Here is a 15,335-nt window from a genome sequence, read left to right on the forward strand (position 1 = left end):
AAGAATATGTTGGGTAACTTACCTCTTCTGGAATGTGTGATTGACTCATCTTCCTTTCCAGACTGAAGAATTTGTTTCTTCAGGATAAGTTTTCAGAAGCCCTTTTCTATGTTTCCTCACATGTGGAGTTCTTGCTAGGCTTTGTAAAGGGCTCAGCTATTTTCCAAAATGGGAATTGAAAAATGAACACTTGTGCATAGCTCACTGAGGGGCATCGAAAGGATTATGTGAGTCCTGAAAGGCACTGAAATAGCTTATTCCAACTGTAAGTATCCTGTGAGCTGTGTCTTCCTCATCTCTGTGTGAGCTGTTTTCCTCTAGACAAGCAGCTCGGTACTCTAAAATAAGCCACATTTCTTTTTATAGCAAAATTACTCTAGTATCAGCTTCAGCCAGCCTACTTGCCAAAAAATGGTGCTCCACCCCACCTATGTCTCTTGATCCTGTAGGGGATTTTCCAAGTTCCACTTTAGCACATGTAGACAGAGCCATTTCTTTATTTATTTCCTGCCATCTGCCTCTTGGTTGTGGTATCATCTAACTTCGTTGGTTGCCATTGGTCCTCACCAGATTGCCACTCCAGTGGGCACAGTGTCCTCAGTAGACTGGGATCATTCTTACCTCCTGACTTGACCAAGGGTGAGGGGACACTCCTAAGAAGCTGGGGATAATGAAATTGATACACAACACAGAGAGTAACTTATAATTGCCACTGGAAGTGGCTTCATTCAGAATCCACAGGTCAAATGCAATGCCATGGTTCCTTACCTACTCATACCTGACTAGCTCTCAGTCTTCCTTTAAAAGCAGGTATCAGTTCCCAATGCCATCCCACCCCCATTCACCTCCCCCAACAATTGCATGGGGTTTTCCAAGCATCTGCCTTTTACTTGACACTTGACATTAGTCTTATGTAATGTCCCCATAGAAAAGTGGAAACTTGGCTGGGAGCAATGGCTCATGCCTGTAATCCCAACAGTTTGGGAGGCCAAGACGAGCAGATCACGAGGTCAGGAGATGGAGACCATCCTGGCTAACACGGTGAAACCCGGTCTCTACTAAAAAATACAAAAAAAAAAAAAAAAAAAAATAGCCAGGCGTGGTGGCATGTGCCTGTAGTCCCAGCTACTCGGGAGGCTGAGGCAGGAGAATTGCTTAAACCCAGGAGGCAGAGGTGGCAGTGAGCCAAGATTGCACCACTGCACTCTAGCCTGGGCGACAAAGCGAGACTCTGTCTCAGAAAAAGATAAAAAAATTAAAATAAATAAATAAATAAAAGTGGAAACCTTTTGTTCTCTTTCTTTTTTTCTCTCTCTTTCTTTTCTTTTCTTTTTTTGAGACAGAATTTTGCTCTATTGCCCAGGCTGGAGGTCGGTGCCATGATCTCAGCTCACTGCCACCTCTGCCTCCCAGGTTCAAGCGATTCTCCTGCCTTGGCCTCCCAAATAGCTGGGATTACAGGCATGCACCACCATGCCCAGCTAATTTTCTTGTATTTTTAGTAGAGACGGGGTTTTGCCATGTTGACCAGTCTGGTCTTGAACTCCTGGCCTCAAGGGGTCCACCCACCTTGGCCTCCCATAGTGCTGGGATTACAAGTGTGAGCCACCGCGCCTGGCCTTGTTCTCCCTTTCTAAAGCCATTTTGCCCCAGGCCTCATCTTCTGCAACAGGATTACAAAATTTCCTGTGTAATTGATGACAGAGAATATACATTTGCTTCACCTTACACTTATTCACCTTAACCTTAACCTTACACTTACCCACTTACACTTATTATGGCCCCTTGATCCAGAGTATACAAGGTGTTCTTCCTTGTTTGGTACATGTCTATGCTTTGGTAAATAATACCAAGTAAGGGTATTCAGTCTGTGTTCTTTCCAATGCTGAGTTCTGTTCATTCCTTTTTTTCTTTTTTTAACAAGCTTTTCACCAGAGTGAGATGATGAACATATCCAATCAACAAACCCCTGCTGACAATTCCTTTCCATCTACTCTCCTTTTGTATGCAGCTGCTGATAACTCCACAAGAACACCCTATGATTTATAGCCCTGGGCAAGTCAAAATCCAAATTTAGGAAAAATATTGTTTTCCAGGGAAGCAATTTTCTGAAGTATGAGTTGTTTTTTTAAAAACACAAAAAACAACCAATTGATATCACTGAACAGAAAACTTCTCTAAATCTGCAGAATTTACCTTAGATCCTGTCATTCACCTTAGATATTCCTGCATAACTAGGGTGGATTTAGGTGGGTTAGATTTTTAGATTTAGCCCTAAAAGGTACTATAAAGTGCTTTCCTAAAAATAAAAGGGGCCTTTGGATCCACTCTGAAGCTATTGATTGTGGACCTGACCAGGTTTCCTGTGTATCATGGTGAGATTGGCAGCCAGGTACAGTACTGAACTAGATAGATAAAGAAGATGCCAGTTCCCATAGAGTTTCTGAGATAGGTGACCATGGACAACAAAGATGTAAGCAACTGAACAAGATCATTGCAAATAATGATAAATGCACAGGAAACAAAAAGCACCATAGTCAGAAAGTGACTAGGCTGGCAGTCGTTATATTGGGTGGTGACAGAAGCTTCTCTGAGGTCAAGACATTTGAGCTGAGACCTGAGAAGGAGGCAATGATCTGGGATCAGAGCTTTTCAGGAAAAGGAAACAGCCAGTGAAATGCTCCAAGATAGTAGTAACATTCTCTTGAAGTACAGCAAGAATGCCAGTGTACTTATAGTAGACTAAACCATTGGAGAGAGCAATTAGCTTGAAGACAGAGGCCAGATGACATAAGGCATGAGTGGCCATGCTAAGGAGTTTGAAATCTAGGCGGTTAGAGGGGTTAGCAGGAAATTGTATGGCATTTTTTTTTTTTTTAAGACGGAGTCTCACTATGTCACCAGGCTGGAGTGCAGTGGTGCGACCACTGCAATCTCCGCCTCCGGGATTCAAGTGATTCTCCTACCTCAGCTTCTTGAAGAAATGGTATGGTATCTTTAAGAGACCTGTTTGCTGTAGGATAGATGATAATACTGGAGACAGAGAAAGCAGTTGGAAACTTTCATGTAAGCAGTGACAGAAGGCCTTGCATCAGAGTGACAGCAGTAGAGATGGGCAGGGGAGGAGAGATTTCAAGATATTTTCTTCAGGCAGAGGAAATAGGACTCTCTGATAGGCTGGATGTGGAAGGAGTAAAGAAAATAATTGGCAGGGTACAGTGGTTCATGCCTATAGTCCCAATACTTTGGGCAGCTGAGACAGTAAGATTGCTTGAGCGCAGGACTTTGAGTCCAACCTGGGCAACAGAGGGAGACCCCTCTATCTAAAAAAAAAAAAAAAAAAAAAAAAGGCTGGGCTAGCCATGTGTGGTGATGGTGCATGCCTGTGGTCCTAGCTACTTGGGAGACTGAGGTGGGAGGATCACTTGGGCCCAGGAATTTGAGACTGCAGTGAGCCATGGTCGTGCCACTGCACTCCAACCTGGGCAAGAGAGCAAGACTCTGTCTCAAAAAAAGAAAAAAATAAAAGAATCAACAAAGACTCCTAGGCTTTTGTTTTGAGCAATTGGATGGGTATCATATAATAGCATCTTCTGAGACAAAGACTGGAGTAGAAAGGAATTTTGGATATACAATGAATAACTATCTTCTAAGGTGAGTTCCAACTCACTTCTAAGGAATCAAACTGTTCACACCCAACCAACACTTCCACTTTTACAAACAAACAACATGATTTTAACTTTCTGTCTCCACTAGGTACTCGACTGTGGTTCAATCTCCAGACCTAGAACAGGAATAGAAGCAAAGGGATTTTCAATATAAATATTAGTTGAATGGTATGAAGTAAAACAAACTTATACTGGTAATAGCTTTGGAATTTACAAAGCATTTTCCCATGCATTATGTCTTCTCCTCCTCATATTAACCCTGCAAACGAAATAACATTATTACCCGTACTTTACAGAAGAGGACACTGAAGCCAAAGGAGAAAATTAACTAGCTCAGTCTTGCATGACCCCTGTGAATGGACTGATCTTGAAACCCAGGTAACCTTACTCCCTGGTCCCAGCCTTTGTTAATGGGGACACAATCCTGGAAATTTTGCCTGTGTGTAAACCTCTAGGGGCTTTTTCTTTCATCGTTTTACATCAGCCAGACTCTGACTCACAGCTGGAGAATCAGCTTCCTTATTATGTAGCGAATTCCATGAACACACACCAAGAGTTGTTTTCTGTAACAGGCTGAAGTAGCTTCTTCTCCCAGTCTCTTTCTCCCATCAAAATTAGAATATCTTTCCTTGGAAAACTGTGCCCAGGTTGAGGGGGACTTCTCCCTGGTTTTGTGTAGACTCTTTGATATGCTCCAAACTCAACGCCTTTCCTTCAATCCCTGGGGCCTTAGGAACAGCCAACCCACATGTGGTGGGAAGTGAGGCGAGGGGGAAAGAGGAATGTGAGGGAGACACAAACACAGCACAATGTTTTCTTTCTGAGAAACTTCATCAAGGCTCCGATTCCAGTGACCTCACCTTCAAGCAATGCCAGCTCCTTTGCTTTAAATCAAAGTTGACATGTGGTGGTGGTTCACATATTTGGAGTCTAATGAGCCTGCAGCTTCTAATGCTGCAAAGGAAATCCTGAGAGTAATATCTGCCCTCTGAGATCAGAGGTGGTCAATAACCTTAATGTATGTCAGCTTCCACACTTTACTCCAGAATTCTTAAGGAAGGTACACATGAAAGGTTGGGCTGTCTATGTAGTGAGCAGCATTCAAATTGGGACACTTACCGCAACCCGCCAGTATACATTCTGTAGTCTAATTTCAAGAAAATGAAACTGAATTATACAAACAGGCTCTCAATTGATCTTCCTACTTTTATTCTTGTCTCGTAATCTTATGTTTTTTTCTCAAAGCACTGAATGTCCTTTCCCGGCTCAAATTCTTCTAGTCCTTACTTGTCACAAATAGAATATAATCGATGTGCCTTTTGATGTCCTACAAAGCCATGCATGATCTGACACCTGGCTATATCTATGAACTTTATTATCACTGCTTCCAACACTCATTCTCACACAAGCTATCTTAGCATCCTTCCTATTCCTAGAGCATGTAACCCGCTGTGACTCATGGTCATTGGCTCTGGTCTTCCCTCTGTAACTGAGGAAAAGGCTCTTACCCAAGAATCTCATGATTCCTTCAATTCCTTCATAATATTCAAGTTTTTGCTCAAATATTACATCTTTAAAGAGTCCTAGCTCCACCATGGTGGAAGTTTCTTCTCCAAGATTTAGTAGTGCCATGATGGTTAATTTTATGTGTCAACTTGACTGGGCCATATGGTGCCCAAATATTTACACAAACATTATTCTGTTTCTGTGAGGATGTTTTGGAATGAGATTACATTTAAATTGGTAGGCTGAGTAAAGAATATTGATTGCCCTTGCTAATGTAGGTGGGCCTCATCTAATCAATGGAAGGTCCAAGTAGAACAAAAAGGCTAAGTAACAGAGAAGTCTTTCTTCCTAATGACCTTTGAACTGGGACATTTGCTCTTTTTAGGTCTCAAGCCTGACAGTCCAGACAGGAACTAAACCGTCAGCTCTCCTCAGTCTCCACTCCAGCTTCCTGACTCACCCTGTAGATCCTGGGACTTTCAAGTACCCATAATCACATGAGCCAATTCCTTATAATAAATATATCTCTTTCTTTCTTTCTTTCTTTCTTCCTTTTTCTTTCTTTCTTTCTTTCTCTTTCTTTCCTTCCTTCCCTCCTTCTTTCTTTCTTTCCTTTCTTTCCTCTCTCTCTCTCTCTCCGTATGTATATAGAGGCAACCAACTTCAGATAAAATATTTGAAACAAAGAATATCTGCACTGAACATGTACTGACTTTGTCTTTTCTTATTACTCCCTAAATAATAAAGTATAACAACTATTTACATAGTATTTACATTGCATTAGGTATTATAAGTAATTTAGAGATGATTTAAAGCATACATGAGAACATGTGTAGGTTGTATACAGATACCACACCATTTTATATAAGGGACTTGAGCATTACTGGGATTTGGTATACTCGAGGATGGAGGGGTCCTAGAATCAACCCCCAACAGATACCAAGAGATGATAATTATTGGTTCTGCTTCTCTAGAGAATTCTGACAAATAGAAATTTTGGCACTGAGAGTGGTTCTAGAGGAATATTTGTTTTCTATTAACAATATTGTGGCCGGGGATCCCAGCACTTTGGGAGGCCGAGACAGGTGGATCACCTGAGGTCAGGAGTTCAAGACCAGCCTGGCCAACATGGCAAAACTCCATCTCTACTAAAAATACAAAAAATTAGCTAGACATGGTGGCGGGTGCCTATAATCCCAGCTACTCAGGAGGTTGAGCCAGGAGAATTGCTTGAACCTGGGAGGCAGAGGTTGCAGTGAGCCGAGATCACACCACTGTACTCCAGCCTGGGTGACAGGTAAATAAATTTAAAAAGTAAAAATAAAAAAATAAAAACATGTATTTTAACAGTTTATTACTCTTTCTAATGCCATAGCCAAAAGACATGACATACTCATCTCACATGTCATAGTCAGTGGCATGCTGGGGGAGGAGTGTGATGCTGATCTGCTTCAGATAGTCATTTAGGGACCCAAGGCCCTTCCATCTAGTGGTTCAATAATCTTCTAGAAGTCCCTTTCTATAAACTCAATATATGTATTATATTCTTTCTTTTTTATACTTACTGTGCATATTTATTATAAGGCATACAACATGATGTTATGGGATATGCATAGATAGTAAAAAAAAAATGCCCTTTCTTTTTCGGTTGTTGTTTTTGTAGCAAGAGCAGCTAAAATCTATTCATTTAGCCTGATACCATATGCAGTACAATTTTATTATCCATAGTTCTCATCCTACACATTAGATCTGTATACTTGTTCATCCTACATATCTGCTTCTTCATATCCTTTGACTTGCACCTCCCTCTTCCCCCACCACCTCACCTGGTAACCACTGTTTGGTTCTCTGTCTCTGTATATTTAAACAATTTTTTAAAATGTCACATATAAGTGAGATAATGTGAAAAATTTCTTTCTGTGTCTGGTTTATTTCACCTAGCATAATGTTCTCCAAGCTCAACCGTGTTGTGGCAAAGTGCAAGCTCTCATTATTTCAAGCTGAGTAACAGTCCATTGTATGCATGTAGTACAGTTTCTTTATCCATTTGCCAGTCAACAGGAACTTAGGTTGTTTTTATATCTTAGTTATTGTGAATAATGATACAATGAACATGGGAGTACATATATCTTTATGAGATTGTAATTTCATTTCCTTTGGGTATATACCCAGAAAAGATATTGCTGAGTCATATGAGAATTCTATTTTTCGTTTATTTAGAAACTTCTATATTGTTTTCCACATTGGCGACACCAGTCTACATTTCCACTGACAGCATTACGAGAGTTCTTTTTCTTCACAATGTCTCTAACATTTATTATCTTTTGACTTTTTGTCAATAGCCTTCTTAATGGGTATGAGGTGATATTCCATAGTGGTTTTGATTTGTATTTTCTTGATGGTTAATGATGTTAAGCACCTTTTTATATACCTGTTGTCCATTTTTAAGTCTTCTTTGGAGAAATGTCTATTCAGGTTTTTTGTCTGTATTTTAATTGGGTTATGTTTTTCCCACTATTGAGTTGTATGAATTCTTCATAAATACAGTATATTAACCCCTTGTCAGATATATGGTTTGCAAATTTTTTTCAATTTTTAGACTGCCATCTTATGTTTATTGTTTAAGAGAAACAGAATTTTAAGATGAGTTTTCTGAATGGGTTGTGGGGTTTATGAAATCTGCTCTCTAATCTGATTAGATTTAAATATGCTAATGATTCTATTTTCAGTGGTAGAAAAAGTACTGATGGTCTGTGGCATGGTCTGACAGTACAGATACACAAAATCTCACCATTGCATACTACTGATCAATGGCATATAAGAATCTTGGAAGGATCTGCATGATTATATATGATACTTTTAAACACTTCTGTCTGACTAACAAGTATAATGAGATTGGCTGGTTGCTCCTAATGTTGCTTAATTAAGTAGGAAAAGAAAAAGATGAACTCAAGGATTCAATGTCCCAATTCAAGTGCTACGTAAATGACTTGATAGCTTCTATATGAGCCCTGAAGGAGACTGCTATCTCCTGTAGCTCAGGGCTGAGGTTGTGGAAAACCAAATCTTTATCATGCAACTGGCTGAATTACAATACAAGTTTGAACTGCCAACCTCACAGGTTGCCTTCTGTTAAAATGTGGACATTGATTGCAAAGGAAGTAATGGGGTTCCTGAAAGATGAAATGGAGATATGTGGGAAGATCCTGATGAAGGTTAAGACATTGAGCCCCTAAATTCTGCATCATTTTTGCCAGTGGAAGCAGACTTTCCAGACATAGTGGAAGCATCTTTTCTATCCCCATTTGAGGGGATTTACTATGTATTGCCTGAAGAAACTCTAATGGCTTCTCCTGAGAGAGTTATCTTGTAAGATTAATGGTTCTCCTCAGGACCCATCCCCATGATCCCTCTTTGCTTTTAGACTTATAGCTAAAGTCCAGAAGGTGCCTAAAGGTGAAGTATACATCCTCATGAGTAAAACAAGGAGGTGCACTATATTCCAAAAGAACTACTTTGTGCTTTCTAATTTATACAGACAAAAATCCAGGGAACATGTGTGGGAACAGATACTAATGGTGTGGGATAATGGTGAAAGGAACATAAAGTTGGATCAAGTTAAATTATTCATATAAGCTCACTAAGCAGTGATTCTTAACCAATGTTGCAGCTCAGGGAGTTAAAAGGGGTTCTAATAGTTTGTTTTGTTGGTTGGCTGAAACAGGGACCAAAAGGTGACCAATAATTAGCAAGTCAGAAATACGTACTTGCTTTGGTTTAATGTGGAGAAAGGAATTTAAAAGCTTAGGGGGATTAGTATGTATATTAGCCAGGGTTCTCTAGAGGGACAGAAGTAATGCAATATACATATGTATTCTATATATATATGGGAGTTTATTAAGTATTAACTCGCACAATCACAAAGTTCCACAATAGGCCTTCTGCAGGCTGAGGAGAGCCAGTCTGAGTTCCAAAACTGAAGAACCTGGAGTCCAATGTTCAAGGGCTGGAAGCATCCAGCATGGGAGAAAGATGTAGATTAGGAGGCTAGGCCAGTCTCTCTTTTCACGTTTCTACCTGCTTTATAATCTAACCATGATGGCAGCTGATTATATTGTGCCCACCCAGATTAAGGGTAGGTCTGCCTTTCCCAGCCCATTAACTCAAATGTTAATCTCCTTTGGTAACAGCCTCACAGACACACCAGGATCAAAAATTTGTATCCTTAAATCTAATCAAGTTGACACTCAGTATTAACCATCACAGTATGTTAGGGTGGATTTGTCATTTAAGACAAACTCATCTACCCTGGGAGTTTAGAACTCACAACTTGAATCATGACTGTGAGAAATAAATGTGTGAGGTGGTCAGACAGCTACCTGGTCACAAATTAATTACATTGGACTGCTTCTATCATGGAAAAGGCAGTATTTTGTTCTCACTGCAATAGACAAAATCTGCATATGAATCTGCTGTCCCTGCATACAATGCTTCTGCCAAAAATACCGTCCATGGAGTTACAGGGTCCCTTATCTACTGTCTTGGTATTTTACACAACATTGCTTCCGATCAATGAACTCAACTCACTGCAAAATAAGTGCAGCAATGAGGCCATGCTCACAGAATTTACTGGTCTTATGTTCCCCACCATCTAGAAGCTGCTGGCTTGACAGAGTTGTGGAATGGCCTGTTGAAGACTCAGTTGCAGTGCCAGCTAAATGAAAATACCTTGCAGGCCTGGGGCAAAGTTCTACAGAAGGCTCTATATGCTCTGAATCAGCATCTAATAAATGATGTTATTTCTCCAACAGTTAGATTTCACAGGTCCAGGAATCAAGTGGTGGAAATGAGAGTGGCTCATCTCACCATTATCCCTAGTGACCCACTAGCAAAATTTTGTTTCCTGTCACCACAATCTTATCCTCTGCTATATTCTGCTGGCCTGGCGGTCTTAGTTCCAGAGGGAGGAATGCTTCCATGAGAAGACACAACAGTGATTAAATTGAAGTGGAAGTTAAGACTGCTTAACTTCCACTTTGGGCTCCTCATGCCTCTGAATTGATATGCAAAGAGAGTTACTGTGTTGAATTGGGTGATTGATCCTGACTCCTAAAGGGAAATTGGACTACTAGTCTACTCTGGAGGTAAGGAAGCATATGTCTGGAATACAGGAGATCCCTTAGGGGGTTTGGGTATTTTCATGTCCTGTGATTAAAGTCAATGGAAAATTATAGCCACCCAATTAAGGAAGGACTACTAATAAACCAGACCCTTCAGGAATGAAGATTTGGTCACCCTATCAGGTAGTTAACCATGACCAGCTGAGGTGCTTGCTGAATGCAGAAAGAATGCATAATACATAGAATAAGGTCATTATAAATGCCACCTAGGACCATGTGACCCCTACAGCAACAAGGATTGTAATTGTCATGAGTATGTCCTCCTTTGTCTGGTTATGAATATGTTTGTGTATACATGTTAAGCAAATATCTTTGTTTTCTTCCCTGCCTTAGCTCCTTATCATGTAACATAAGATTATTTGCTTTATATCATAGTATTTAAATATTTTAAACTTTACATCACAGTATTTATCTTACAATATATCAAGAAGAGTAAACATCATTCATGTACTTTATCTCCTTTTCTGGAGAAGGAATTAGTGTGTTTTCAGTTGCACACAGGATAGTTGTATTATGTTATGTGGCATATGGCCCTGTTATTGTTTTTATTTGAAGATGAAGTATGGTTTAGGGAGATGTGTATCTGCACTAAGCTGGCAAAGGGTGAACATGTGAAAGTTAATATTATGTGTCTTTTTAAAAATTTTATTATTTTTTTTTTTGAGACAGGGTCTCACTCTGCTGCCCATGCTGGAGTGCAGCATTGCCATCACAGGTTGCTGCAGCCTTAACCACCTGGGCTCAAGTGATTCTCCCACCTCAGCCTCCCAGATGGGACTGCAGGTGTGCACCACCATGCCCAGCTAATTATTTCTTTTTCTTCTCCTTCTCCTTCCTCTTCCTCTCCTTCTCCTCCTCCTCTTCCTCTCCTTCCCCTTCTCGTCTCTTTCCTCCTCCTCCTCCTCCTTCTCCTCCTCCTCCCCTTCCTCCTCCTCCTCCTTCTTCTTCTAGACAGGGTCTCTCTATGTTGCCCAGGCTGGTCTTGAACTTCTAAACTCCAGCTATTGTCCTGCGTCAGCCTCTAAAACTGCTTGGAATACAGGCATGAGCCACCATGCTCCAGCTATGTGTTTTTCAGATGAAATTAACATTTAAATTAGTAAACTAAGCAAAGCAGGTCGCTCTCTCTAATGTGGTTGGGCTTTATCTAAGTAGATAAAGATTAACATAGGACAAAAAAGCTGACTCTCCTCAAGTAGAAAGAATTCTTCCTGCCTGATTGTCTTTGAACTTGGACATCTGCTTTTTTTCTGGCCTTTGGACTTAACCTAAAACATAGGACTTCTCTGGGTCTTGAAGCTGCCAGCCTTTGAATTAGAACTACAACATAGGCTCTCCTGGTTCTCAGGCCTTTTGGACTTGAACTGAAACTAAGCCATTGGCTCTTCTGGGTCTTCAGTTTGCTGACTAACTGCAGATTTGGGTACTTGCCAGCCTCTATAATCATATAGGCTAATCCCTTAAAATAAGTGAATACATAAATGAATAAATAAATATCCTAATCTTAATGGTACTGTTTCTCTGGAGAATCCCAATATTCATGCCAAATTAGAAATTAAATGAGTCAGTGTTAAAATATTCAGCACGATACCTGACATACTAATTACTTAGTTTTTGTTTTGTTTCAAGGGAGGTAGGGAAGATAAGGAAAATGGGCATGGGACACTTCTTTAAACAGGAGTGTGGATAGGAGTGGAAAACAGTTCCCAAAGAGATCTGCATATAAAAGACAGATTAAAAAAATCTAATCATTCCTTAACAACTGTGTATTTTCCCTCAAATAAGTCTGTTGGAGATGGGAGAAGGTATTGGATTCTCCCCAAAATTTAAAGTGAGTAGATGAGAAATCTCACAGAAAATCTGAGTATTAAGCTATGGAAATGTTCAAACATATATAAAAGTTGAAAAAAAAATTAACTGAACTCCTATATACACACCATTTAGATTCCACTATTAACATTGTATAATACTTGTTTCCTCTGTTATGAGTTTGAACTCTCCAAGGAAATCCAACCTGACTTCAGTAACTGTGACAGTGTAGAAGTTATTTATTTTAATAAATCCAATTCTGTCTGCAAGTTTCAACTTATTCCTCATTTTGTTCACTTAAACATTAAATCATTAAGAAAATATCTGTTAAATGCCATACCCTAAACTGAATTATTGTGACAAAGAAAATTAATTTAGTTTCCCTTTGTCAATTGTATATGAATTTAAATAAATCATATTTATATTAAAATGCCGGCTATGGTTTTAATTGAGATGCCATGAAATCTATAGATCAAATTGATCTATATGAAATTGAATTGACGGCTTAACAATATTGAGTTTTTGTCCCACAACAGGATATATTTCTACACTTATTTAGGTCTTAATTTCTCTCATTAATGTTATGCAATTAACATTGTACAAATATTCTGCCATATTTTTCCATAGGTATTTTATATGTTCAATGCTATTGTAAATGGTATTTTTTCTTTAATTTGAATTTCTGACTGTGTATTGCTAATACATAAATATGAAATTTAGTTTTAAAGTTACTTCTGCATCTTACAACCCTACTAAACTCACTTACTAAGTTTAGGTTATGTTTTACTTTTCGGGGAGTAGATTTTTCATGTCATCTGCAGATAATGGTAGTTTATTTCTTCCTTTCCAAACTGGGAGTCATTATTTTCTTTTTCTTGCCTCATTATTTGGCTAAAACTCCAGTACAATATTAAAAATGAGTAGTGAGAACAGACATGTTTTGTTCCAGATCTCTTAGGAAAAATCATTCAGTCTTTCACCATTAAGTATGATGTTAGCTACAGTTTTTGTTTGTTTTAATAGACGCCCTTTGTAGATTAAGGAAGTACCCTTGTTTGCTGAAAATTGTTATTAGGAATGGATATTGGATTTCGTCAATGATTTTCTGCATCTATTGAGATAATCATGTTTTTATTTTTTAGTCTGTTAATTTGGATAATTACATTAGTTTATTTTTATTTTTTCAAATATTAACCAAATCTTGCCTTCCTGGGATAAAACCTACTTAGTAACTAAGGATTATATTTGTTACATATTATCTATTTGATCTAATAAACATTCATTCAAAATTTTGCATCTGTATTCATTGAGAGTATTGTTCTGTAGTTTTTTTGTAATATTTTTAATCTAGATTTGTTAAAAGAATACTGGGGTCATAGTATAAGTTGGGTAGTATTACCTCCTCTACAATTTTCTGGAAGAAGTTATGTAAATGGTGTTTAATTTCTTCATAAATAATTTACCAGTACAGCTATTGGGTGCTAGGGTTTTGTTTGTGGAATATTTACTACAAATTCACTTTATTTAATAAATATAGGGCTATTTACTTTGTTCTTTCTTGAATGAGCCTTTGACATTTTCTGTTTTTCAAGGAATTTTCACATTTCGTTTGAGTGTTGAATTTATTGGCATAACATTGCTATAACATCTCTTTGTTATCCTTTTAATATCTGTAGACTCTGTAATGACATCAATTTTTTCATTCCTGATTTTTATAATTTGTGTTCTCACACTCTCTCTCTCCAGTTCTTCCTCTCTTCCCCACCGATAAATTTTTCTAGTTATTTATCAATTTTATTGATATCCAGAAAAAAATAAATATTGGATTCACCAATTTATTTCTGTTATTATTGTTTTTTTATTTGTTCGTTTCCATGTGGATTTTTAGTATGTTCTTTCTCCTACTTACTTTAGATTCAATTATGCTTCTTTTTCTAGATTTAAATGATAAATCTGAGGTTATTTCATTGAGATCTTTCTTCTTTTCTAATGTATGTGTTAGTGCTATAAATTTTCTTCTAAGAACTGCTTTAATAGCAACTCACACATTTTGGTATATTGTGTTTGTATCTTTGTTCATCTCAAAATGTTCTCAAATTTGCTATGAAAATACATAAGCAAATGTATTTTCTTTTTGTCTCATGGTTATTTAGTAGTGTTATTTCATTGCCAAATGTTTTTGGATTTTCTAGAGATCTTTCTGTTGTTGATTTCTAACTCAATTCCCCTTTGGTTAGAGAACATACTTTGAATGAACTGTATCCATTGAAACTTATTGAGACTTATTTCATTGCCCAGAATACAGTTTAGGTATAGGTTATACGTACACATGAAAAAAAAAATGTTTATTATCCTGTTCTTGAAAGAAGTATACTATAAAAGCCAATTAAGTCAAATTAGATAATTTTTTCAAATATTTTATATCCTTTTTTGTTTTCTGTTACTACTTCTAGTACTTATTGAAAGATGGGTATTGATACCTCTGAATATAGTTATGAATTTGTCCACTTTCACTGATGTCCCGTTGATTTTTTTCTTCATGTATATTGAAGGTCTGCTTTTAGGTCTGGGATTGTTACATCTTCTTGATGTATTTTATCTTTTTATGAAACAAACTTATTTTATCCCTTGCGACATTCTTTACTCTGAAATCTATTTATTATAATATTAATTTAGCCACTTCAGCTTTCTTTTGATCAGTGTTAGCAAGGAATATCTTTTCATATCCTTTTAATGATAACTTGTTTTTATTTAAAATATTACCAAAACAGTGCATATGGTTCAGTCCTCTTTTTTTTAATCCAGTCTGATGATCTTTGGCTTTTAATTAAATTATCTAGACCATTTATATTTAAAGTAATTGCAGACATTATTAGATTTACATTTATCTTTGCTGATGAAATTACCATTGTTTTTTATTTGTCACATCTGATATTTGCCCCCTATTTTTCTGTCTTTATTTGAGTTAATTGAATGTATTTATTATCCCACTTGAATTTCTTTGTTGGCTTACTAATCATAACTCTTTAGTTGTTCTTTTAGTTGTTTATTTAGGATGTGTAATACGCATTTTTAACTAATTAGCCTACCTCCAACTGATATTGTATCACTTCATTTTTCCCCTACTGAACTTTATTATTTGTATATATTTCACTTTTATATGGTCATATAA

General features: G+C 37.7%; 1 long non-coding RNA gene across 1 annotated transcript in view, besides 1 other annotated feature; it reads left to right on the forward strand.

Annotated features, from left to right (window-relative positions):
- LOC105376235 (uncharacterized) overlaps positions 1–4,148 on the forward strand; it is a 76,146-nt gene extending 71,998 nt beyond the window's left edge. The window contains exons 6-7 of the long non-coding RNA XR_930270.3: positions 3,757–3,836; positions 3,965–4,148. This is a non-coding gene — a long non-coding RNA (uncharacterized LOC105376235). The remainder of the gene's footprint in view (positions 1–3,756; positions 3,837–3,964) is intronic.
- Positions 3,401–4,600: an enhancer, noted in NCBI's record as "MED14-independent group 3 enhancer chr9:118434360-118435559 (GRCh37/hg19 assembly coordinates)". NCBI's record gives its function as "activates an origin of replication core promoter dependent on BRD2, BRD4, P300/CBP and CDK7 cofactors, and independent of MED14, by STARR-seq in HCT116 cells {active_cell/tissue: HCT116}" and the evidence as "EXISTENCE:reporter gene assay evidence [ECO:0000049][PMID:35650434]".

Source organism: Homo sapiens, chromosome 9 (genome assembly GCF_000001405.40).
Source record: "Homo sapiens chromosome 9, GRCh38.p14 Primary Assembly".
In the NCBI taxonomy this organism is placed as follows: Eukaryota; Metazoa; Chordata; class Mammalia; order Primates; family Hominidae; genus Homo; species Homo sapiens.